Source organism: Homo sapiens, chromosome 5, assembly GCF_000001405.40.
Source record: "Homo sapiens chromosome 5, GRCh38.p14 Primary Assembly".
Lineage (NCBI taxonomy): Eukaryota > Metazoa > Chordata > Mammalia > Primates > Hominidae > Homo > Homo sapiens.
The window spans coordinates 10,225,392-10,249,917 of NC_000005.10; the positions used below are offsets into that span (position 1 = coordinate 10,225,392).

The following is a 24,526-nucleotide window of genomic DNA, read 5'->3' on the forward strand; positions in this document are numbered from 1 at the left end:
GTTATCCAGTTCCAAAGTTGCTTCCACATTTTCGGGCATCTTTTCAGCAACATACCAATTTACTGTATTAGTCTGTTTTCACGCTGCTGATAAAGACATACCTGAGGCTGGGCGATTTACAAAAGAAAGAGCTTTAATTGGACTTACAGTTCCATGTGGCTGGAATATCTTACGTGAATGGTAGTAGGCAAAAAGAGCTTGTGCAGGAAAACTCCCCCCTAAAATAACCATCAGATCTCATTAAACTTACTCACTATCATGAGAACAGCACAGGAAAGACCTGCCCCCATAATTCAATCACCTCCCACCAGGTCCTTCCCACAACACGTGGGAATTCAAGATGAGATTTGGGTAGGGACACAGCCAAACCATATCAATGCCTCTATAAACCCACCAGGAACACTTCTAGAAAATGTTGAACACCTCCGAGGCCCCACAGAACCCTCCTCTACCCACATCTTCATGGCAAGGAGCTACCATGGATCCCCCTCCGAGTGTGCCCAGACCAGTTACAGGACTGGTTACAGTGGAAGGCAACTGAGAGGCATAGAGCAAGAGCTGCCCTCCCACTAAAGTCACACACCACAGAAAGAACTCATTCTTCATAAGAAGACTGGAGCTACTGAAAAAGGGACAGACACTAGCTGCCAAAAACCTGGCTGAAGTCCACAACATCACATCCCCTCATCTCAGACTCACACAGGTGCTCTCTACACCATCACACTGTTTACTTCAGAGAACTCCACACACACTAAGATTCCCTTGCTTATTTGTTTGTCTCTCCTTTCCAGAATAGGAATTCCATGAGGCCAGGGGCTTTGCATGTCTATTTACCGCAGAATCTCAGAGCTTCTTCTACAGTAGATACTGAATACATATTTGTTGAATGAATGAATGTGTCCCCAGATGTTTCTCATTTAAATGAAAATGATCAAACTGACCAATTTTTATAAGTTTAGTTAAAGATGTGACCATCTTACTTCATTACATCTCCATTAAGACAGTTTGGTATTTCAGTTACAGGTGTATGACTGGGAGTTCAATTCTTTTCTGTGATAAGTACGAATGACTCAAGCTACCATTCAATATTCACTTTACAGATATATGAAGCTTGTCTACTCACGTTCAAAGGTTTTCCTTAATTCGTCTTTTATCTAAATCAGTCAAGTCTCTTCTCATAAATGAGAAATATTAAATGAGTGGCAGCTCTCAAGAAATAAAAAAGTGACTAGCAGAAATAATCTGCAACTTCTGTGAATAAGATTTTTCTCAGTGTCTAAAATAACAAACACCATTTATGGACCAAAGACTAGGTGCCATGAGTTTTAGAAATTGGTCCCCACTCCACTGTTATGTGTACCATTATCCCAGTGGCAGAGATACACAGAAAGCCAAGGCTCAGAGGCAGTAAGTCATGGGTCCGAGGCCTCTTGCTGATGACAAAACTGGAATCTGAACCCACGTCAGGCTTACATTTACACATACATGTATACAAATGTACACATATACAGCTTAGATTCCATAAAATACAGTAATCTAGTGGTGGAACAAATTATTTCTAATAAATGTTATAAAATATAAACGCCTCTCTGAATCCTTTAGAAAATTAATTTTGCCATGAAGTACAAAAAGGAAAGAGATACAACTTAAGTATGAACAAAGTTATAGGATACTACAAACAGTTGGTAATATATACTGTCTTTAAAAATCATTTCTCCTTATCGAGGCATTAAGCCATATTGTTTATAATGTGAAGAGCTATTGGCATCTTATTTTCCTACCCATAACCATGACCATCACTTATTCATCTTTTCATGCATCCAGGTGCATGGAAAGGCAGTAAGTACAATTTTTAAGAAAATAGCATCAAAAGCAGATTTTAAATCTACCTGTTTTTCTTCGTTTGTTTTCTCCAACAGTTAAGGAAAGTAATAGTAATTTCTCATTCCAAACCAAAGACAATTATGCTCCTTTGCTAAGGACACAGCTGTAAGTCTCTACAAGATCAGGGAAGACTACAATATTTCAGAAAAACACTCCCAGTCAAGTTTATGCTTGAATGGGCAGCTGGAAATGCATCGATGTACAGGGCCTCTTTTCACGGCCTCTAAAAGTGCTTGCATCATATGCCCACACTGTGTCTATCCCCTCCCCCGTGACGTGGTCTGGAGTCCAATGTGGGAAAGGGAACCGGCAAGCAATAACTCGTGCATCATCCTCAAGTTCACGTTCAAGTTTCTTCTCCAACTGCAGCATCTGTGGAGAGTAACAGCTATTATTTTAGTGAGCAGTGAGTCAGAGGAAATGATCCCAAAATTTCCTGTTTTTAAGAGTCCCTGAAAATACCTGAGCAAAAATTACTACTTGTTAAAAAGAGCACTCTGGGACACAAACACATAAACAAACAATCCATTGAAATACAGAAGATACACTGACAGCAGTTGTAAGAACACCTTCTAGTATTAATTATAAAATATGCCATTTTTAGCAGATGTCTATCATAGATTTATAGTTTTCTAAATAAAATCAGGATGTGGCAGTAATTTTAATAAGAAGCAGTTTTAAATAACGCACTTCAACACTTCAATATACCTAGTCTCATATATTTAAGACATTATTTTTCCACCATTTTTTAAGAGAGAGGGGTCTTGTTATGTTGCCCAGGCTGGTCTCAAACTCCTGGGCTCAAGCAATCTGCCCACCTCGGCCTCCCAAAGTGCTGGGATGACAGGCGTGAGCCACTGCGCCCAGCCACATTTTTGCACATTTTTAACATCTCTGAAATCAGGACACATCACACAACACTAATTGTCTTAGAATTATAATTAGCAATTTTTTTGTTTCTCAATAGCAATGGTGCATCCTAAAATCAAGATCTACAGTCAATGAAATGTGGTATAGTTAGACTATGAAAAAATATGCACAATTCTACCAACTGGAAATATCATGAAATATTTCATAATTTTTAAAAATGTATCCATAATATACTGATAATGAATTTCTTGATAGCCTAACTTATACCACCGTTGTACCATTTTATTATCAATCTACCAATAAAGAGTTTTTATTATTTGCTAGAAGTATTGATATTTTAATTACATCAGCAAATTAACAACTACTTAAAAACTTATCTGCAGATCCTAAAAATATATTACCACCTTCACCACCTTCACATCCTAAAAATAATTTTTTTCTACTTTCTTCTTTTAACTTGCTATTTTGGGATAATTTCAAACTTCCAGAAAAGTTGCAATAACAGAACAAAGAACTCCTGTATACCTATACCCAGGTTCAAATAATTTTTTTTTTTTTGAGACAAGATTTATCGCCCAGGCTGGACTGCATTGGTGTGATCTTGGCTCAATGCAACCTCCGCCTCCTAGACTCAAATCATCCTCCCACCTCAACCTCCTAATTTTGTAGAGATGGGGTTTTACCATGTTGCCCGGGCTGGTCCTGAACTCATGAGCTCAAGCCATCTGCCCACCTCAGCCTCTCAAAGTGTTGGGACTACAGGCGTGAGCCACTGCAGCTGGCCTACAGGTTTACCGATTTTCAACATTTTGTCACATTTGTTCTCTTCCTCTCTTTGAACATTTTTTTCCTAAACCATTGCAGAAAAGGTTGCATACAATATGCTCCTTTACTTCCTTAATACTTCAGTGTGTATTTTCTAAGAAAAATATTTTCATACATAATCCCAGCACAGTTATATTCAGGAAATTTAACATTGTATTCCAATATAATAATTCCAAATAACACTGCGATTCTGTCATTGCCCCAATAATGTTCTGTATAACATTTCCCAAGGGTATGATCCAGTCCAGGACCATTTTTGCATTTAGCCATAACATTCCTTTGGTCTCCTTAGACGGAAAACAGTTGCTCAGTCTTTCTTTGGTTTTCGTGACAATAACATTCTTCAGTTATCGGACCGAGTGGCCCTGGCGGTGGGTCCTCTGATGTGTGCTCATGAGCAGTGCGGTGTGTGGTCTTTGGCAACACCCCACCTGTGAAGCTGTGAACTTACCAGGGCTCCACAGACACCCAGGAGGCCCTTCTGCTCTTGATGATGGCAGTAACCACACAGTGAAGGTGGGATCCGGTGTCTCCATTGTGCAGTTGCTATTTTTGCTTTTATAATGAGTAGTTTGTGGGGAGATGCTTTGGGATGATGTAAATCCTGTTACTCATCAGAGAGTCCCTACACTTGAAATAGCACTCACGGATGATTCTGGCCTGAATCAATCTGCTAATTCTGTCCTTTCTTCTAGATGTACAGTTGGCACTCTACCGTAAGGAACAGCTTTCCCCTCACCTGCTCTGCCTCTCTCTGTCTCCTTATCTACCGATCTGCTATAAGGACAAACACCTATATTCTTATTTCATTTGATGGGTTATAATCCATTACTGTCCTTGTGTATTCGAATGCTCGAATTCTCCTAATTTGGCCACTGGGAGGCTCTTGCCGCTGGCTTCTCTGTCCTTTGGACATGCTGTTATCAAATACTGTGAGCACTCCTTACATTCAGGCTTAACAAAATGTTCCTGGCTTTTGTATCTTCCCTTCCACAGTCCTGATTCAGCCTTTTTCTCAAAGATTCCTGGTTCCTCTTAGTGAGAAGTGATATTTAGAAAACAAGATCTAAGCAAAAATTATTCCTCTAAAAAGTAACCAAGATGAAATTGATAGGGCTTCTATGATGGTTTTATTCCTGGCCTATATCTTATAACCAAGTGCTCAGAAAAACTTCTACATGACCTACAGCTGGAATGAACTAAATTCTAATTCTTCATTAGAATCAATGCGAAGATAACACAGAATAAATTCTATTAAGGATGGAGGAATTTCTATTCTTTTAACAGCCAGTATAGATTAAAAAAAAAAAGTTTTGTTCCTTGAGGGAAAAATTAAATAAGCAAAGAATGAAACAATATGTGTTTTTCCAAAATATCAGAGATTTCTTATGGTAATTTTGTTCATAAAAAGGATAATTATAAACTTATTCATGATGCTATTATTCTTTTCTCTTTTATAGTTTCTTTTATTTCCAAATGATTGTCATATGCTAAGTCAAGATAAACCTAAAAATGAAAGGAGCTATTTCCATCATAAGAAATTAACTGACTAAATTACACATAAATATGCAATGAATCTGGTGCTTGATATCATACGCAAAGAGAAGCCGTGATGTGTCATGTCTGCGTAAAGGAATTCAAAATTATTCATACAATTATAGGTTTCAAAGTGGCATGAACTCATCCTATTCTAATTACATCTACAAAACTTTAAACATAGTTCTGAAAGGTATAAGATAACCCAGCCCTGCCACACACACACATCCCGCCCCCCAGGAACCCCGGTTTCACTGGGCCGCCAGTGTAACTCACTCCTGGCACTTCCTCCTCCCCAGGCTCCCCTCTCAAGTCCTACTGGTTGCCCCTAATTTCCTAGACCTCTAATGCCAGGGTCCAGAGCTCATGCCTTCAACAGCTCATCCTCGTGCTCCCCATGGAGTCTCAGCTACTCCCAGGCTCCATCTGTGCGGATGCCCAACAAACCTACATCTCCAGCCCACCCTCTGGCCCGAACCCCAGACTCCTTCTCACCCACCACTGCCAGCCTGATGTCATGTACACCCAAACTTCACATGCCCATGCTGACTTTCCCAGCCAGCTCCGCCTGCACCTTCCCCAGCATAGTTCAAAGCAACTCCAAGCGTGTGGCAGGATGGCCCGGTGGTCTAAGGTGCTAGACACAAGCTTCCACTTCCCAAGGCAACTCCAAACTTCCAGTAACTTGGGCCAACACGCTGGGGCTGCCTGTGACCCCACCTTTGTCTCTCTCCCCAACGTTAGATCTGCCAGCTAGTCCTGTGGATTTTATCTTCACAATGCACACAGAATTTGATGCTTCTCACCAGCTACTCCGTGGCCTGGACACCTGCAAGAGCTTATAACCTGTCTCCCAGCTTGTACCCACCCCTGCCTCCACATGGCAGCCTGTGACCCTTCTCAAGCCCAGCCAGCCCTGCATTCCTCTCTGCTCACCCAAGGCTCCTGCCCTTCCAAGGGCTGGTGTCCTTCCCATCCTGCTTCCTCTCTGACCTCCCCACGCACACTCATGCCACACCTGCCTGCTTGCTGCACTGCCCCCCACCCTGCCCGAGGCGCTCTTCCCTGCACGCCCCCTCCCTAACCTCAGAGGTCACCTTTGCAGGGATCCTGTCCCTGCCCCACCCCGCCCTTGCTTTGCTTTGCTCCACAGCACTTTTGCTTCTGCTGTATGATGCATCTTCTACAGGCATCTCATGTAATATCTGCTCTCCCCACTAGCATATGAGCACCTGGGGCAGGTGTGTTTTCTCTTGTACTCACTGAAGTATTCCAAGCGATTAGAACAGGGCTTGCTATAGTGGCCACACTTGTCAAATGAATGAAGGAAAGAAGGAAGAAAAAGTGATTCAGCTACGAGTTATTTTTCTTCACTAGAACATAATGATAATATTTTTGTTCATCAGTTCATAAAAGCCAAGCATGGTGGCTCACACCTGTAATCCCAACACTTTGGGAGTCTGCAGCCGGAGGACTGCTTGAGCCCAGGAGTTTGAGACCAGCCTGGGCAACATAGTGAGACTCTGTCCCTGCGAAAACTAAAACCATCAGCCGGACATGGTGGCACACGCCTGTATTCCCAGCGACTTGGCAGGCTGAGACAGGTGATCGCTTGAACCCAGGAGGCTGGGGCTGCAGTGAGCCAAGATCACGCTCTACTGCACTGCAGTCTGGGCAACAGAGTGAGACTCTGTCTCAAAAAAAAGAAAAAAAAAATTCATAACAGAATTTGTAACTAAAATTGGTCATTCTTTGAAGTTATGAAAGTAGATAGCTTTCTGGGAAAAGTATAAATAATGGGTATATTTAGACCACATTCATTCATTCAACAACCGTTTACTGAGTGATGCCTGTGCCAGTGCTGCGGTGCTGGAGGCCTGGGCCAGCTAGAAGAAGAAAGGCCTGGTCCCTGCCCCTGAGCTGATGGTGCAGTGCACACAGCTAGCAGTGTCGAAGCCTTCAGACAAAGAAATGCACAATAACCCATCTAAGGACAGGGCAACAAGGTACTATATGAGAGTAAAGCGGGCCGCTGGAGCTCGCCTCATTGTCATCAAGGACTGCCTTGCAGAGGAAAAGACAGCTGGCCCATGAGTGGTCAGTGCTGTTCGACGAAGTCCAGAGCCAGGGAGACCACAGTCAGAAGGAAGGAAACACCCCAGGCTCTGGGAAGAGCAGCAATGGCGAGGTCCAGGGGGCCGAGAGAAGGACGGAGGGCTGGTGCAGAGAGCTGAGGGCAGCATGGCCCAGGGGAGGCTGGAGGGGAGCAGGGGCCCCTGCGCACCAGCCTCAGGGCCACAGTGAGTATTTGGGCCTTATCCCTAAAAACGGCAAGAAGTCACAGAAGGGTTTTACACAAGAGCAAGGCTGATCTGCTCTGCACTTTGAAAAGATGCTCTCAGTGCGTAAGCTCATGTTAAACATGGATGTTCACAACCCCACAACTGGCTTGACCAGATCCAGATGGGATTCCTGCTCCTTTTTAGATAGATACATACTTGTGTGGAAATGCTAGGGCACCTCTGATTTTGAGCTACAACCGCACAGAGCTGTTAGGGATCATCAGTCTGGTATCAGAAGCAGGGGTGAGGGTTTACAGCCCCAGAGATTCCTGGCTCTGGGCCTCCCCAAGGCTCCCCTGGCTCTCTGAGTATCTACCTGGGCATCAGCAGGGAACGTCACATGGCATGCTGGCTTTGTGGAGTCACCCAGCCACGGCTGGGATGGTCGACTGGCACAGCACACGCCCCCTCCCCTCATGGCCTCCACTGAGACACAGCTTGATGAAGGCTGAAAGTAGGGGCCTCCACACACAAAACTTAGCCTTCCAAACCAACAGAAGCCATCCCAGCCTCCGCACCCCTGACCGACCCACCAGCATGAAGACAGCAAGCTGGCCAAATCTCTATTACAGGGAACGTGGACACTTTGTATCCTTCAGCTGCTCCCCTTTCTCCTTGGGAATAGTGAAATGGTACATGTTCCTTATTTCAGATTTCTCTACATACAGAAGAATGGACAGTAATCACAAAAGTATTCATAAATAATAAGACTCTTATTTCCCCTGATTGAACAGCTCCATAAAGTGAGTCAGTCTACTTCAAACATGGTAAGAAGCACCCGGAGTCGGCTCCACAGGTCCTGGAGTGACGATGACTACCAAAGGCCACTGCTGCCCCCCGCTGGGACAAGTAATCCTGATTTCATCATCCTGCCTCTCCACAACGCATGGAATTTCCAGTAAATGCTAACATTCTATTTTTATAAAGCACAGATTCAAATTAAAGTTACTTGTCTCCAAAAAGCTAACAATTCCATTTTAGAACGAAAGCCCAAACATCACAGGTAATAAATCACCATCAAAATTGCGTATCAATCTATGATCCCAATCAGTTTTTTAAAAATGACCAGGGAGTGTGCCCTTCTACCTCATTTCACTTCTATAAGAAAAGGCTGAATACCAAAGTTTGGTCTTAATTTTAGGCCTAATGAGAATTATAAATGTACAGGATACTGTCACTTTCAAGAACATTTTACAAGACTGGGCACAGTGGCTCACACCTGTAATCCTAGCACTTTGGGAGGCCGAAGCAGGCAAATCACTGGAGGTCAGGAATTCAAGACCAGCCTGGCCAACATGGCAAAACCCCACCTCTACTAAAAATATAAAAATTAGCTGGGCGTGGTGGCAGGTGCCTGTAGTCCCAGCTACTCAGGAGGCTGATGCAGGAGAATTGCTTGAACCAGGGAGGTAGAAGTTGCAGTGAGCCGAGATCATGCCACTGCACTCCAGCCTGGGCAACAGAACAAGACCCTGGCTCAAAAAAAAAAGAATATTTTACAAAAGCATTTCTAAATTATATTTTAAAAGTAAAGAATATGGCATTATACTGAAGGTCTTAGTAGTAGAAATACATTTCTCAAGCACTGAAATGTCTTATACAAAAATTTGGGTATTAATTAAAAAACAAAATAAAAAAAGGTAAATTGTCTTTTTAAAAAATTAAAACCCTATCAGCTATATCACAGCATTTTAGCAAACATTCAATTCTGCCAATTTTATTATGGCTACAATGATAGACTTTGAAACGTGAAAAGGGATTTCTTTCCATGGTCTGTGCACCAGCAATACAGCAAAAGCTTCCCACCATGACCATCCTTCCAAAGGCTAAGGAGGGCCATTTTCAGTACAATACTGTGGCATTTTCACTTTTGAAAGTACATAATCAAAGTTCAATATGCCATCCTCTAGCAAATCAGTAAACTGAGGTAAACTGAAACTACTCAATGCTCATCCACCCAGAAAATTATCTTCCTTCCAAATGGGAGGAATGATCAATTCAGAGGGAACATCTCATTAACTTTCCGGAGCGATTTCAGCGAAGTGGAAGTGAGCGGCTGTGAAAACTGCAAACTACATTAGACACGGGACCTCAGAAAGCAGTTTCCAAACTGGAATGTTTAAGGCTTAGGGAAATCATTGAGAATTTAATCTGAAGCCAAAGTTTAAAAGTATGACTGAATCTTTTATGATTAAACTTCTAAGACTCTGAAGTATTTTATTAAATCAATGAACTGAAATCCAGTGTTCCCTAAAATCTCTGGGAGGCCATCACCCTCACACGGGTGAGTGGTGGTGTTGTGGCTGGAAGGGCCTTCAACATCATCTAACCCCAAACAGAGAGCAGGAAAGTGCATACTCACCATCTGAGGCACACCGAAAATAACAACGTTCGAGTACTGCGAAAAAGTAACCTGAACAAGGTGGGAAAATAATCAGTAGATTAAGTGCAAAAAGCCAAACGTGAAGCTTAACTTGTTTTACAGAAATGGGTAGCAGTTTTCCATTTTACCAAACGGTGGGTTTTGATGAACTCCTAAGAACAGCGGCCCTCCTTAAGATTTCACAAGGAAAAGAATAACATGTTCATGCTCTCATTCATTTTAATTCAATCCACTGCAGTTTTCCAAACGCTTCCCTGTAAGTCATCCCATCTCATCCTCAGGGTGACTCCATCCAGGGCACGCCCCAGTGGTCATGCGTCAGACAGCTAGTGACCACACTGTGACCCCACTGTGACCAGCTGGTGGCACCGGGGCCACGTGTTCCCGCACCAGTCCACTCTATACCACCAGCTTCACCAGAACACAGGAGACTTCAGAACCATCTGTTTTTTGTTGTTGTTGAACCATCCTTAAAATTTGAGTCCCCCTCCTCTTCTCTAAAATACTATGTAAAAAAGTGCAATAAAATGGTCTTTAGTTGAAAAACTGGGGGGAAATGTGCTTTGCCAGTTAAAATTCTTATTGCCCAATAAGTCTTATTTACTCTATAGAGAGATCGTTTATGCACATATGGCATAAAAAAACAATGCAAGCAAAACTCAAGTGAATTTTTGTAAGCTACTGATGACAATATTACAATGGAAAATTCTTATTTAAGAAAAAGCATTTTATGGAACATTCCTAAAGCAAAATTACAGGGCATTTTTAGAGTTTTTAGAGTACAAATAAATTTGGAAGTATCTTATACTTTATGAGGATAAGAAATAACCGTGATAGCACGATTCTCCAGCAACCATCTCTGTGTCTCTCTAAATATACGAATATGCATACACACACTCACACAGGCACACAAATGGAAAAGTCTAATATTTATCAATAATAATTTATAGGATTTCCAAATGAGATGAAAAATCTCATTATTTTGTAAGAAACAGAAATGACAACATTTTAATTTAGTAAATAAATTCTTGGAATTCACAAGACCTATCATATAAAAACTTTAAGCTTCTCTCTAAAGGAGACTATTTGTAAAACGTATCAATTTTACATATTTCATTATGCCAGAATATTCACTTGGATTTTAATTATTTTTCTTTTAATACATTTTTCAGTTCTCAGTCATACTAATTTTGAATAATAAAATTTTCCCTTGGATTTCTCTAGGGCCATTCTCTGCCTTACATACCTTCCACAAATCTGAAATATAAAATTTGGCAGATCCATGCACACCTTCTCGCCAAGCGCGGTATCTGGAATACCAAACTAGCCATGGGTTTAATTCATAACCAACTGCTGTGAACCCTTTCTTCGCAGCCGCTATGACCTGTGGAGAGAGGCAGGATTTATTCAAAATAAGAAGAAAAAATGAACATACATGGTCAAACAATATGAATATTTCCTATCAATGGTTTAAACATCCAATCAAAAAGCACCTCCCGTGACTAAGACATCATTTTAAAATGTGTCTCTAAAGCGATATAGCTTTGTGGACAACGTAATAGTCAACCCATGCAACTTAGTTTCCTTGATTGGTTAAAGACTTCACCTCAAGTATCAGAATAGACATTCAGGTTCACTTGGAACACCTCCATAATTGATTCTAGGTCAGCCAACCCCCGGGGAGGTCGAACAAAACATTGCTGAAAATCCACTGCATCTCTCCATCAGTGGGCTAGCACAGCAGCAGTGAAATGAAAGTGTCTGGGAGGATGGTTTTGTGAACAAGTAATAATATGCAATAAAAATAACCTGTCAATGAAAAATCTGCAATTAGTTACATATTTCCTTTGTAGTTAATGACTGTTTACTCAAAACTGAAAACAGGTAAAAGTAAAATGAAATGAATCCCAATAACGTCAACTGTGGAATCCCACTGGCCTCCGGAGAGTGGGAGGGATGTGGGGCAGTCCTGGGTTCTCTCTGCCTGTTCTGTCCTGCCCCATTCTTTAAGGGAGCATCCCTTGACTCAGCTGTCCCACCTAAGATAGTTCCCAAGTACTACAGTGCTGCAAGAAAACATTTTCTCAGAAACCACAGATACTCTTCAAATACGTAAAGCATTCAAATATGAATTTCAAAACTTTCTCCTTGATTTATTGATATGGTTTGGCTCTGTGTCCCCACCCATATCTCATCTTGAATTCCCATGTGTTGTGGGAGGGACCTGGCGGGAGGTAACTGAATAATGGGGGCAGGTCTTTCCCATGCTATTCTCATGACAGTGAGTAAGTCTCACAAGATCTGATGGTTTTATAAGGGGGAGTTTCCCTGCGCAAGCTCTCTCCTTGCCTGCCACCATCAATGTAAGACATGACTTGCTCCTCCTTGTCTTTCACCTTCCACCATGATTGTGAGGCCTCCCCAGCTGTGTAAAACCGTAAGTCTAATCACCTCTTTCTTTTGTAAACTGCCCAGTCTCAGGTATGTCTTTATCAGCAGCATGAAAACAGACTAATATATTTCTTTTTTTTTTGAGATGGAGTCTCGCTCTGTCACCCAGGCTGGAGTGCAGTGGCGTGATCTTGGCTCACTTCAGCCTCCGCCTCCCAGGTTCAAGCGATTCTCCTGCCTCAGCCTCCTGAGTAGCTGGGATTACACGCGTGCACCATCATGCCTGGCTAATTTTTGTATTTTTAGTAGAGAAAGGGTTTCACCATGTTGGTTAGGCTGGTCTTGAACTCCTGACCTCGTGATCTGCCCACCTCAGCCTCCCAAAGTGCTGGGATTACAGGCATGAGCCACCACACCTGGCCACTAATAAATTTCTTAGAAACAAATAGTGGCTCCCAGAGGGTGAGGGGAGGAGAGGAGTAGAAAGTTATTATTTAATCGGGGCAGAGTTTCAGTTTTGCAAGATGAAAAGAGTTCTGGAGATGGGTGGTGGTGATGGTGGCACGGCAACGTGAATATGCTTCACACCCCGAACCGTACACCTGCACATGGTTAAGATGGTAAACACTACGGTATGTGTATCTTAACACAATTTTATAAGTAAAAAAAAAAAATTAAATTAAAAATATCTTAACTTTCTAACCTCCTCGTGATTATTCTAGCTCAGAATCACAAAATCAGTCTCTATGTCTGTAGGAGCCGGTGAAAGGTGATAGAGTCCTGCTGGCCTTCACACTAAATGCTTCCATAGCACCAGCCTTTCCCACTGCTGCTGGAACTTTTCAGCTTATCTCTGGGATGAGGCTAAGGATGGTGCCACCCTGCCCACAGAGGAACCTGCTCTGAGACACCCACTTGCCCATCAGTGGCCTTTTATTTATAGGTGCCCAACTGCGGTCAAGTGAGAGAAGTTCATAAAAAGACTGATCTTCGGCTTAGTGAGGGTTAATCACTGGCTCTTTCTTAACTCTGTATTACCCCAGGAATTATTACTTATACATGGATAAATACAGACAAATGCAGAAGCAAACAACTATGGGGCAAAAATGTAAAGGAGTGAAATGCCATGATTTAACATATTTCTTCTCATGCCACCTCTGTTGGCCCATGTATTTTAAGAGACAATTTGATAATTACCAGTTAACTGTTCTTTTTCACCTGGCATGTTTACAGCACACTTCCTCCTTTAAGAACAAATTAAATCTGGGAAAAATGAATTCCAAACACACTGGTAGTTGAATAGTTTGGTCAAACAAACATAAAATGAAATGAGCACTCTTTCAAGCTGTCAGATTTAGTTAAGTCTTTGTGTAAGCCTTACTAAATGTAAAGCAGAAATTTTAAGTTCTGGTTTCAAACCTTAAAATGTTTTAGCAGAACTCACAATGCGTCCGTCCCCACTACCGATGTCCACAAGGGATCCTCTTCGGCATCGCAACATTTTCACAACATTTTCAATCTGCTTCGTAGTTGCAGGTACAAACGGCAAACAGACTTTTCGAAGGGCTGGCGTTACAAACGGCGTGGCTACAGCGTACACAGCCACCAGGGTGCCACCCACAAGCCCAGTAAGTAAGAACCCCCAGTTGCTTTTCTGCAAACTGTTGACTTCAAAACTTGCAGGTAGAACATGTCTTGACTGACTTTCTTCTTTAAGTGTTTCTAGGGGTATACCTAGATTGAAAGCAAGCAGAAGAGACACATGTAGCACCAAATCTGAAATCCAAGAGAGCATTTTTTTCTACAATTCTCATTGGCAAACAAACTCATGCTTTTTAAAGGATAATTTAGCTGAATACAAGCTAAATGTCAACTGTAGGATCCCACAATTAGTTCTAAATCCTATTAAGGTATTTTGAAGAACATTATTCAATACTATGAGAAGACTAAAATCTTTTCTTTCCAAAGTACTGATTTTTTGTGTGTCTAGGAGTCATCCTTACAAAACAATGTATTCAAACTTATCGAGTAATTTATTAATTTAATATCCATTAGTGCAAGTTTTAATCATGCACTACATATTTTTATGTTCTGAACTAACAAAGCCTCATAAACAAATAAGCATAAAGATGTCTAATTATTACCCAATTTCAAGTAGAATTAAAGGATTCCACATCAAATCTGGTCTGGCATCTACAATCCAGTTTCACCAATACAATTTTAAAGTAATAGAAGAGACAAAAATCAGGTTTTACCAAATATCTTAAATAAGTATGGTAATAAAGAGACTTTTACAGCGGATCCAAAAAGAACAAAAAATAAGGCCGGGCGTGGTGGTTCACGCCTGTAATCCCAGCACTTTGGGAGGCCAAGGCGGGCCGATCACGAGGTCAGGACATCGAGACCATCCTGGCTAACATGGTGAAACCCCATCTCTACTAAAAATACAAAAAAAAAAAAAATTAGCCGGGCGTGGTGGCGGGCGCCTGTAGTCCCAGCTACTCAGGAGGCTGAGGCAGGAGAATGGCATGAACCCGGGAGGTGGAGCTGACAGTGAGCCGAGATCGCACCACTGCACTCCAGCCGGGGTGACAGAGCGAGACTCTGTCTCAAAAAAAAAAAAAAGAATAAAAAATAAGATCATCATTTTAGTACTATCATAAACATAAAATAACGCAGACCCCAATCACTGATTACAAAGAAATGAATGGTACCTTAAATATCCTTTTGAGATTTGTCCTTTAAAATGCATTTAAATGGGATCTCAAGATTTTGAAATTAATATTGACAAAATTGATTTTAAAATTGATTAACAAGGAGCACAGTACAGGAGGTAAAAGCAGGACTCCTCCAGAGCCAGCCAAAGTTAGGATCCCAGCTCTGCCACCTCACTAATGATGGGACCCTGAATCCCTGGTCCTTGCTGAGCCTGTTTTCTCATCTGCAAAGTGGGGGTCACAGGGATATTGTGAGGATGAAATGAGTGTATGGAGGTAAAGCACTTAGAACAGGGTCGAATGCAGTTATAGGTTTCCTATAACTGCTGTAAGAAATTGTCACAAAATTAGTGGCTTAAAATAACACCATTTATGGCCAGGCGCAGTGGCTCACACCTGTAATCCCAGCACTTTGGGAGGCCACGGCGGGCAGATCACCAGAGGTTGAGAGTTTGAGACCAGCCTGACCAACATGGAGAAACCCCATCTCTACTAAAAACACAAAATTAGCCGGGCGTGGTGGTGCATGCTTGTAGTCCCCAGCTACTAGGGAGGCTGAGGCAGGAGAATCGCTTGAACCCGGGAGGCAGAGCTTGCAGTGAGCCGAGATCACACCATTGCATTCCAGCCTGGGCAACAAGAGTGAAACTCCATGTCAAAAAAAAAAAAAAAGAAAAGAAAATCACCATTTATTATCATACAGTTCTGGAGGTCAGTCTGAAATGAATTGGCAGGCCTGCGTTCCTTCTGGGGGCCCTCGGGCAGGTTTTCTTGTCTCTTCCTGCTTCCAGAGGCTGCCCACATTCCTAGGCTCTTGACCCCACATCACTCCAATCTCTGCTTCTGTCCTGACATCACCTTCTCTCACATGCCTGGCTCCCTCTTAATTTATAGGAACCCTCATGATAACACTGGGCCCACATAAATAATCCAAAATAATCTCCCATCTCAAGACCACTGATTACATCTGTACAGGTGCAGGAATTAGAATGTGGACATTCCTGGAGAGGACATTTTTCTTCCCACCACACCCATGAACTACGGCAATCTATTCTAGTGCAGTACAAATTTGAACCCAAGACACACAGAAAGCTGGCACACAGCAGTGGGTCACCCTCAGGGCAGCCAGCCAATCGCCAGCATCCCCCACTCAGCGCAGCTTTGTTCTTGATTCCTGAAGCCCCTTAAAATGAGTTGTAAAACTGATTTCACAGTGGAAAACGAACTGGGTCGGCGGAGGGGGCGGTGGGAGGAAGAATGCTACTAATGCTAGTGCTAGTATTAATGCTAGTGATGGGGGTAAAGAAAATTAACTTTAAGAAGGTGATGGCATTTGATAGAAAGCAAAAGCTTTAAATAATTTCAGTTATAATTTTGGCATTTTACGGAGGAACTTACAGGCATACCTTGGAAATATTTAGTTCCAGACCACTGCAATAAAGTGAGTATTGCAATAAAGCAAGTTACACAAATATTTTTGGTTTCCCACTGTATATAAAAGTTATGTTTACACTATACTGGAGTCTATTAAGTGTGCAATTGCACTGTTCAAAAAACAATGTATGTACCTTAATTTTAAAATCCTTTATTGCTTGACATTTTGGTCTGATTTATCTTCGAAAAATTTTTTTTAATTTTTAAAAAAGAGTTTATTGCTAAGAAATGCTAATGATCATCTGAGCCTTCAGTGAGTCATAATCTTTTCACTGGTGTAGGATCTGGCCTTGACGTTAATGGTTGCTCAATGATGAGGGTGGTGGTTGCCGAAGGTTGGGGTCGTTGCGGCAATTTTTGAAAATAAGACAACAATGAAGTTTGCTGTATTGATAGACTCTTCCCTTCATGAAAGATTGCTCTGCGGCATGTGATGCTGTTTGATAGCATTTTACCCACAGTGGAACTTCTTCCAAATTTGGAGTCAATTTTCTCAAACTCTGCCACTACTTTATCAACTAAGTTTATAAAATATTCTAAGTTCTTTGTCATCATTTCAACAATGTTTACAGCATCCTCACCAGTAGTAGATTCCATCTCAAGAAACAACCTCCCTTGCTCATCCATAAAAAGCAACTCCTCATCCACTGATATTTTATCATGGGGTTGCAGCAACTCAGTCTCATCTTCAGGCTCCACTTCTAACTCTCTTGCTATTTCCACCACATCTGCAGTTACTTCCTCCACTTAGGTCTCAAAGTCATCCATGAGGATTGAAATCAACTTCTTCCAAACTCCTATTAATGTTGATACTCTGACCTCCTACCATGAATCATGAATGTTATTAATGGCATCTAGAATGGTGAATCCTTTCCTGAAGGTTTTGAATTGACTTTGCCCAGATCCATCAGTGTAATCACTATCTATTGCATCTCTAGCCTTACGAAATGTATTTCTTAAATAACAAGACTTAAAAGTCAAAATTACCCCCTTGATCCTTGGGCTACAAAATGAATGCTGTGTTGACAGGCATGAAAACAACATTCATGTCCTTGTACACCGCCACCAGAGCAATTGAGTAGTAACTAGGTGCATTATCAATGAGCAGTAATATTTTGAAAGGAATCCTTTTTCTGATCAGTAGGTTTCAACAGTGGGCTTAAAATATTCAAAAATCATGCTGTAAAGAAAGGTGCTGTCATCCAGGCTGTGTTGTTCCATTTATACAGCAAGGCAGAGTAGATTTAGCATCATTCCTAAGGACTCTGTGATTTTCAGAATGGCCAGTAAGCATTGGCTTCAACTTAAAGTCACCAGCTGCACTGACCCCTAACAAGAGAGTCAGCTTATTCTTTGAAGCTTTGAAACCAGGCATTGATTTCTCTCTAGCTTCCAATAGAAGGTTGTTTCATCCATATTGAAAATCTGCTGGCCAGGCACAGTGGCTCGCGCCTGTAATCTCAACACTTTGGGAGGCTGAGGTGGGCGGATCACAAGGTCAGGAGTTCAAGACCAGTCTGACCAACATGGTGAAGCCCAGTCTCTACTAAAAATACAAAAATTAGCCAGGCGTGGTGGCACGCCCCTGTAATCCCAGCTACTCGGGAGGCTGAGGCAGGAGAATCATTTGAACCCGGGAGGCAGAGGTTGCAGTGATCAGGCCACTGCACTCTAGCCTGGATGACAGAGCGAGACTCCGTCTCAAAAGAAAAAAAAAAAAGAAAATCTGTTTAGTGCAGCAACCCTCATCAACAATCTTAGCTAGATCTTCTAGATAACTTGCTGCGGCTTCTCCATCAGCACTTGCTGCTTCACCTTGCATTTTCATGCTCTGGAAATGGCTTATCTTTCCTTAAACCTAATGAACCTACCACTGCTAGCTTCAAACTTTTCTTCTGCACTCTCCTCACTTCTCTCAGCCTTCAGAGAACTGAAAAGAGTTAGGGCCTTGCTCTAGATTAGGCTTTGGCTTAAAGATATGATGTGGCTGGTTTGATTTTCTATCCAGACCACTCAAACTTGCTCCATACCAGCAATAAAGCTTTTTCACTTTCTTATCATTTGTGTGTTCACTGGAGTAGCACTTTTAATCTCCTTCAACAACTTTCTCTTTGCATTCACAACCTGGCTAACTGTTTGATGCCAGAGGCTTAATTTTCAGTCTATTTCAGTTTTCCACATGCCTTCTTCACTAAGCTTAATAATTTCTAGCTTTTCATTTAAAATGGTAGAAGTGTGACTCATTCACTTGAACACCTGGAGCCCATTGTAGGGTTATTAATCAGCCTAATTTCAATGTTGTTGTGTCTCAGGAAATAGGAGGGCCCAAGGAGATGGAGAGAGATAGAGGAATGGCCAGTGCAGCAGTAGGAAAACACACATTTATCGATTAAGTTCACTCTTATTTGGGCATGGCTTGTGGAGCCCCAAAACATTTACAATAGAAACATCAAAAATCCCTGATCATAGATCACCATAACAGACATAAAAATAGTGGAAAATTTGAAATATTGCAAGAATTACCAAAATGTGACACAGAGATAAAAAGTGAGCATGATGCTGTTGAAAAAATGGTGCGAACAGACTTGCTCCACGTAGGGCTGCCATAAACCTTCTGTTTGTAAGAAGCACACTACTGAATGGGGCATGTTGGTTCATACCTGTAATCTCAGCTACTCAGGAGGCTGAGGCCAGAAGATCGCTTGAGCCCGGGAATTTGAGACCAGCCTGCGCAATAATAGCAAAATCCTATCTCTAACAACAACAACAAAAAAGTGCACTATCTGCAAAGTGCAATAAAACAAAGTATGCCTCTGTTTGCTCAAGTGGTAGTCATGCATTTATTTAAGAAAAGTCGGCCAGGCACAGTGGTTCATGCCTATAATCCCAGCACTTTGGAAGGCCGAGGCAGGAGGATTGCTTGAAGCCAGGAGTTCAAGAGCAGCCTGGGCAACATAGCAAGACCCCATCTCTACAAAAAATAAATTAGCCATGTGTGGTGGCATGCACTTGTAGTCCCAGCTTTTTGGGAGGCTGAAGCAGGAGGATCGCTTAGGCCCAGGAGGCTGAGGCTGCAGTGAGCCGTGATCGCACCATTACATTCCAGCCTGGACAACTGAGCAATACCCTGGTTGTCAAAAAAAAAAAAAAAGAAAAGTCAAGGCACATTTGTACATGTGTCATGCCCTCTGTAAAAAATTATCTTGTGGACATTCCAGTTGTACAGTACAGCAGTTAAGAGGATTTGGGTTACACAGTTCTGGAGTCTCAGAACTTAATTAGTTGTTTAACACAAGGTAAGTTGTTACTAAGGCATGGTTTTCTCCTCAGTAAAATTTGGAAATAATTTGTTTAAACACAATTCAAGCTGGGCATGGTGGCTCACGCCTGTAATTCCAGCACTTTGGGAGGCTAAGGCGGGCAGATCATGAGGTCAGGAGATTGAGACTATCCTGGCTAACACAGTGAAACCCTGTCTCTACTAAAAATCAAAAAAATTAGCCGGGCATGGTGGTGGGCGCCTGTAGTCCCAGCTACTTGAAAGGCTGAAGCAGGAGAATGGCGTGAACCTGGAAGGCGGAGTTTGCAGTGATCCGAGACCGCGCCACTGCACTCCAGCCTGGGTGACAAAGTGAGACTCCGTCTCAAAAAATAATAATAAAATAAAATAAATAAACACAATTCAAAATTGGCCAGCCACAGTGGCTCATGCATGTAATCCCAGCACTTTGGGAGGCTGAGGCGGGTGGATCACCTGAGCTCAGGAGTTTAAGACCAGCCTGGGCAACATGTCAATACCTCATCTCTACCAAAAATGCAAAAAATTAGCCAGGCCTGGTGGTGTGCATCTGTGGTCCCTGCTACTTGGGAGGCTGAGGTGGGAGGATTGCTTAAGCCTGGCAAGTGGAGGTTGCAGTGAGCCGAGATCACACCACTGTACTCCAACCTGGGTGACAGAGTGAGACCTCATTACAAAAAAAAAAAAAAAGATTTTGCAATAATACTATCCTCATAGGATTCTTGGAACAGGTAAATAATGTAAACAAAGCATTTAGCACAAGCCTGAGAGGCTAAGTAATGACTATTAATTGCTATTATTATTCTCAATACTATCATATGCAAGGAGGGGCTCAATTTTTAACAGCTTTGAGATATAATTCATATACATACAATTTGCCTGCTTAAAGTATATAATTTAATGTTTCTTTTTATATTCAGATACATGCAACCATCACTACAGTCAATTTTTGAACATTTTTATTACCTCAAGAGGAAACCCCTTATCCTTTAGCTATCACCCCCGCATCCACCCTCTATCCCCCAGCCCTAAGCAACCACTAATCTACTTTTTGTCTCAAGAATCCCCTATTCTGGGGCCTGGCACAGTGGCTCACGCCTGCAATCCCAGCACTTTGGGAGGCCGAGGTGGGCGGATCACTTGAGGTCAGGAGTTCCAGACCAGCCTGGCCAATATTGTGAAACAACAACTCTACTAAAATACCAAAAAAAAATTAGCCAGGCATGGTGGTGCACACCTGTAATCCCAGCTACTTGGGAGGCTGGGGGCAAGAGAATCACCTGAACCGGGGAGGCAGAGGTTACAGTGAGCCAAGGAGCCAAAATTGCACCACTGCACTCCAGCCTGGGAGACAGAACAAGACCCTGTCTCTCAAAAAAAAGAAAGAAAAAAAAAAAAAAAGAATCCCCTATTCTGGACTTAAAGGAATGGAATTGTATAGTGTGTGGACTTCTGTAACTGACATTTTTTACTTAGCATGTCTTCAAGATTCATCCAGGTTGCAACTTGTATCAGTTCTTTATTTCTTTTTATGGCTTAATAATATTCCATTGTATGGATATGCCATATTTTTGCTTACGCATTTGTTCACCAAGTTTATTAAACAAACACAAGTCAGATGACCCAAATTTCATTTTTCACCTGTGTAGATATGTACCTTTCAATTCAACCAGCAAAAGATGTAATAAAAAGTTCCTGTTCTTCACGGCCTCCCATCTAGGCAGATGAGGGGTGGGGTCCAGGAGAGGCAGACACAGGGCTGGTTGTGAGAAATGCTATAACACAAACAAAACGCTACAGGCATATGGGAGAGGCGGAGGAAAGACTGATTCCAACAATGGGACCAGTGAGGTGTTGGCAGAGAGAATATTTGAGCTGGAGCCAAAAGCAGCAAGCCTTGGAACCAAGGTGTGGAAGGCAGGGAAAGCCTTTCTGGAGCACAGAGTGAGAGACAAACAGGAAGGCAGGCCTCTGAAGGCCAGGCTGAATGTGTATTTTATTCTATGTGCACTGTGATGAAACTTTTTGAGCAAAGTCACCATAATATTTGTGTTTTTAAGAAAGGCAACACAGGGGCAATGAGTCTCTTGATGAAATCATTCTATTTTCTGTCCCAGGTTTTGATGCCTGCAAGTCTTGCAACGTAACAAACATTTGCATGGGGAAATCAAGATCCATACCCATTGCTGGAGCTTTGGAAGAAGTTACTATGTACATCCAATATAGGATGTACAATATAGGAACTACATTGTTAGCTCCATTCAGGAAAAACAATTGATTCCTTTTTGCGATGGGGTCTCACTCTGTCGTCCAGGCTGGAGTGCAGTAGCACAATCACAGCTCACCACAGCCTTGACCTCTCAGGCTCAAACGATCCTCCCACTTCAGCCTCCCAGGTAGCTGGGACTACAGGCACATGCCACCACACCCAGCTAATTTTTTAAATTTTTTTCTTTAGAGACAGGGTCTCCCTATGTTGCCCAGGCTGGTCTCAAACTCCTGGGCTCAAGCAATTCTCTCGCCTCAGCCTCCTAAAGTGCCTCCATGCCAGGACCTGTATTGATTCTTATCAGTAAAAATCAGGCCCTGAATATTCAAAACTAAAATCAAGACTGTTTCTACAAATCCTTCTAACGGAACATGTTCAGACTCCCAGACTATCCTATATATAAATGGCAAGAACTTTCTTTCAGGTGTTCTTTGGAACAAGGAGCCATTCTATTAAATAATGGCTGCAGTGGCCACTGGCTACTTTCATTGAGCACTTAGTAGTCCATCCTTTAAAGTCAAACACAGAATGAGGTTAACTTCTACTGTGTCCGGGCCCTGCTTGCTTATTGACTTCTAATATTGGTTGAAAACTTCAATTTTTAGTGGCAGATTTGGATCAGCTGAAGCTAGAGGCAGTGACAGATGTACAATAAGGTACCCAAGGTTCTTATCCAAGTTCAAGCCAAAAGAAAAAGGCCAAGAAGAGAGAAGGAGCCTGTTAGGAATAGTAACTAGCCACGTGTTTAAAGCGGGCTTATATCAGAATGTCACAACTCATAAGGACTGTTCATTGTGCACTTGTATGTGCATACCTGTTTAATAACTACAGCATATGTTATGTCCCTTTAGCATATATTCTTATGTCCTTAAGAAGCCTTTCTTATACTAGTCTAATGTCATTTGTGTCCTTTTGACATACATGAGCTATTGATATTAGGAAAAATCCTCTCTCACTCCCCAGTGTTTTGACAGGGAATCAACTACACAGAGGATGCCATAGGACATTCTATTTTTCACAACAATCGAAGGAGCCAAATGAATTGCAGAAGTCACCATTTTTAATGAGGAAACACTGAATTGGCAAAGCTAACGTGAAATAAGACCTGACTCCAAAATCTAAAATGTCCTTGAAGAACACTTCAAGGTCTAGCGCGTAAGTATGCCAAGCATGAAGAGTTAACAGATCACCAACCATCCCATGACAGTCAGTCCTCCCTGTTTTTAGAGACAGAATCTCGCTCTGTCGCCCAGGATGGAGTGCAGTGGCGCGATTATAGCGCACTGTAAACTGAACTCCTGGGCTCCACCCATCCTCCTGCCTCAGCCCCAGAGTAGATGGGAACACAGTCGCCAAGTCTGTTCTTGAGTTTCAGGACAGGGTCAAATGTTATAGTGCATGTATTCATTTCAGCACTTATTGAGTGCCTAATAAAGTCTGGGAATAATACAACTTTATTAGTTAAGTCCCTGCCCATGGCAGTAGGGGAGAAGCAAGGATGGAAACCCTCAACAAATAAATCTAAACCTATCAAATATTAAGTCATGATCTTGGAGGGCGGGGAGGAAGGCAGCATAAGAGATTTAGAGGACAGCTGCGGTTGCCAAGATCTTTCTGAGGCAGCATAATACAGGGCTTAAGAGTGAGACCTGCCGGGCACCGCGGTGGCTCAGGCCCAACACTTGGGGAGACCTAGACGGGTACATCACTTGAGGTCAGCCGTTCGAGACCAGCCTGGCCACTACGGCGTTAACACCGTCTCTACTAAAAATACAAAAATTAGCGAGCGTGGTGGTTCTGTGCCTGTAGTCCCAGCTGCCTGGGAGGCTGAGGCACGAGAATCACTGGAACCCGGGAGGCGGAGGCTGCAGTGAGCCGAGACCGCGCCACTGCACTCCAGCCCGGGCTACAGTCTTGTCTCAAAAAAAAAAAAAAAAAAAAAGAGTGTGGGACCCATTGCATCAGGCTGTGTAACTGTTTCTTACTAGCTGTATACCAGTGGCAAGTTACTGAACCATTTGTGCAAAATGTTAATTTATTTACCAACACTGTGTTCAGCTTGCCAGGCACCGTTCTCCTTGAATCTCACAGCAGCCCTGTGAGTAGGCACTACTGTTACCACCGTCACTTTGCAGACAGGGAACCCGAGGGACAAAGAAGTTAAGGGATTTCCTCAAAGCCACAGCTAGGAAGAGCGGCAGAACTGCGATTCCAATCCATCAGTGTGCCTCCACTATCCCTATTCCTTAAGATCGTGCCAAAGGCTGAGTCACTTGCACTAAGTAGCCTAGAACAGTCTCTGGGGAAACGCGCCCGCCGACAAGGATCGCCAGAACCGGCGCGGGCACCGCGCGGCGACCAGGAGCTCTGGTCACCGAAGGCCAGGCTGGAGGCCAGAGCAGCCGCCCGCACCCGGTCACCGCCTCGACAGTGGAGACCTCAGCTGACCGCGAGCCCCCGGCCCGCCCGCACCCCTTCTCATGCCCCCAGGAACCCGCCAAGCCGCTCCAGCCTCACCTCCTCCTCCCTCCATCGCGAGATTTCCAACAGCGTTTTTAAAAAAAAAAAAAAAAAAAA

At 42.7% G+C, this 24,526-nt stretch overlaps 1 protein-coding gene across 8 annotated transcripts, besides 2 other annotated features; it reads right to left on the reverse strand.

Annotated features, from left to right (window-relative positions):
• Nucleotides 1-115: 115 nt before the first annotated feature.
• Nucleotides 116-24,497, reverse strand: ATPSCKMT (ATP synthase c subunit lysine N-methyltransferase). 8 transcript variants are annotated; one of them, NR_047669.2, is made up of 6 exons: nucleotides 24,467-24,497; nucleotides 13,676-13,965; nucleotides 11,447-11,649; nucleotides 11,087-11,224; nucleotides 9,820-9,870; nucleotides 116-2,256 (listed from the first exon to the last, which is right to left on the reverse strand). NR_047669.2 is itself a non-coding variant. In NM_001258389.2 (5 exons), the coding sequence occupies exons 1-5, from the start codon at nucleotides 24,480-24,482 to the stop codon at nucleotides 2,231-2,233; spliced, it is 477 nt and encodes a 158-aa protein (NP_001245318.1). In that variant the 5' UTR covers nucleotides 24,483-24,497; the 3' UTR covers nucleotides 116-2,230. The 8 variants fall into 8 exon arrangements, 5 of the variants coding, with proteins under 5 accessions (NP_001245318.1, NP_954584.2, NP_001245317.1 ...); NR_047670.2 differs by lacking the exon at nucleotides 11,447-11,649 and adding an exon at nucleotides 19,043-19,109 and having other exon boundaries at nucleotides 13,651-13,965; NM_001258389.2 differs by lacking the exon at nucleotides 11,447-11,649 and having other exon boundaries at nucleotides 11,131-11,224.
• Nucleotides 24,267-24,386: a silencer, noted in NCBI's record as "silent region_15913". NCBI's record gives its function as "represses an Ori minimal core promoter by ATAC-STARR-seq in GM12878 lymphoblastoid cells {active_cell/tissue: GM12878}" and the evidence as "EXISTENCE:reporter gene assay evidence [ECO:0000049][PMID:35858748]".
• Nucleotides 24,397-24,456: a silencer, noted in NCBI's record as "silent region_15914". NCBI's record gives its function as "represses an Ori minimal core promoter by ATAC-STARR-seq in GM12878 lymphoblastoid cells {active_cell/tissue: GM12878}" and the evidence as "EXISTENCE:reporter gene assay evidence [ECO:0000049][PMID:35858748]".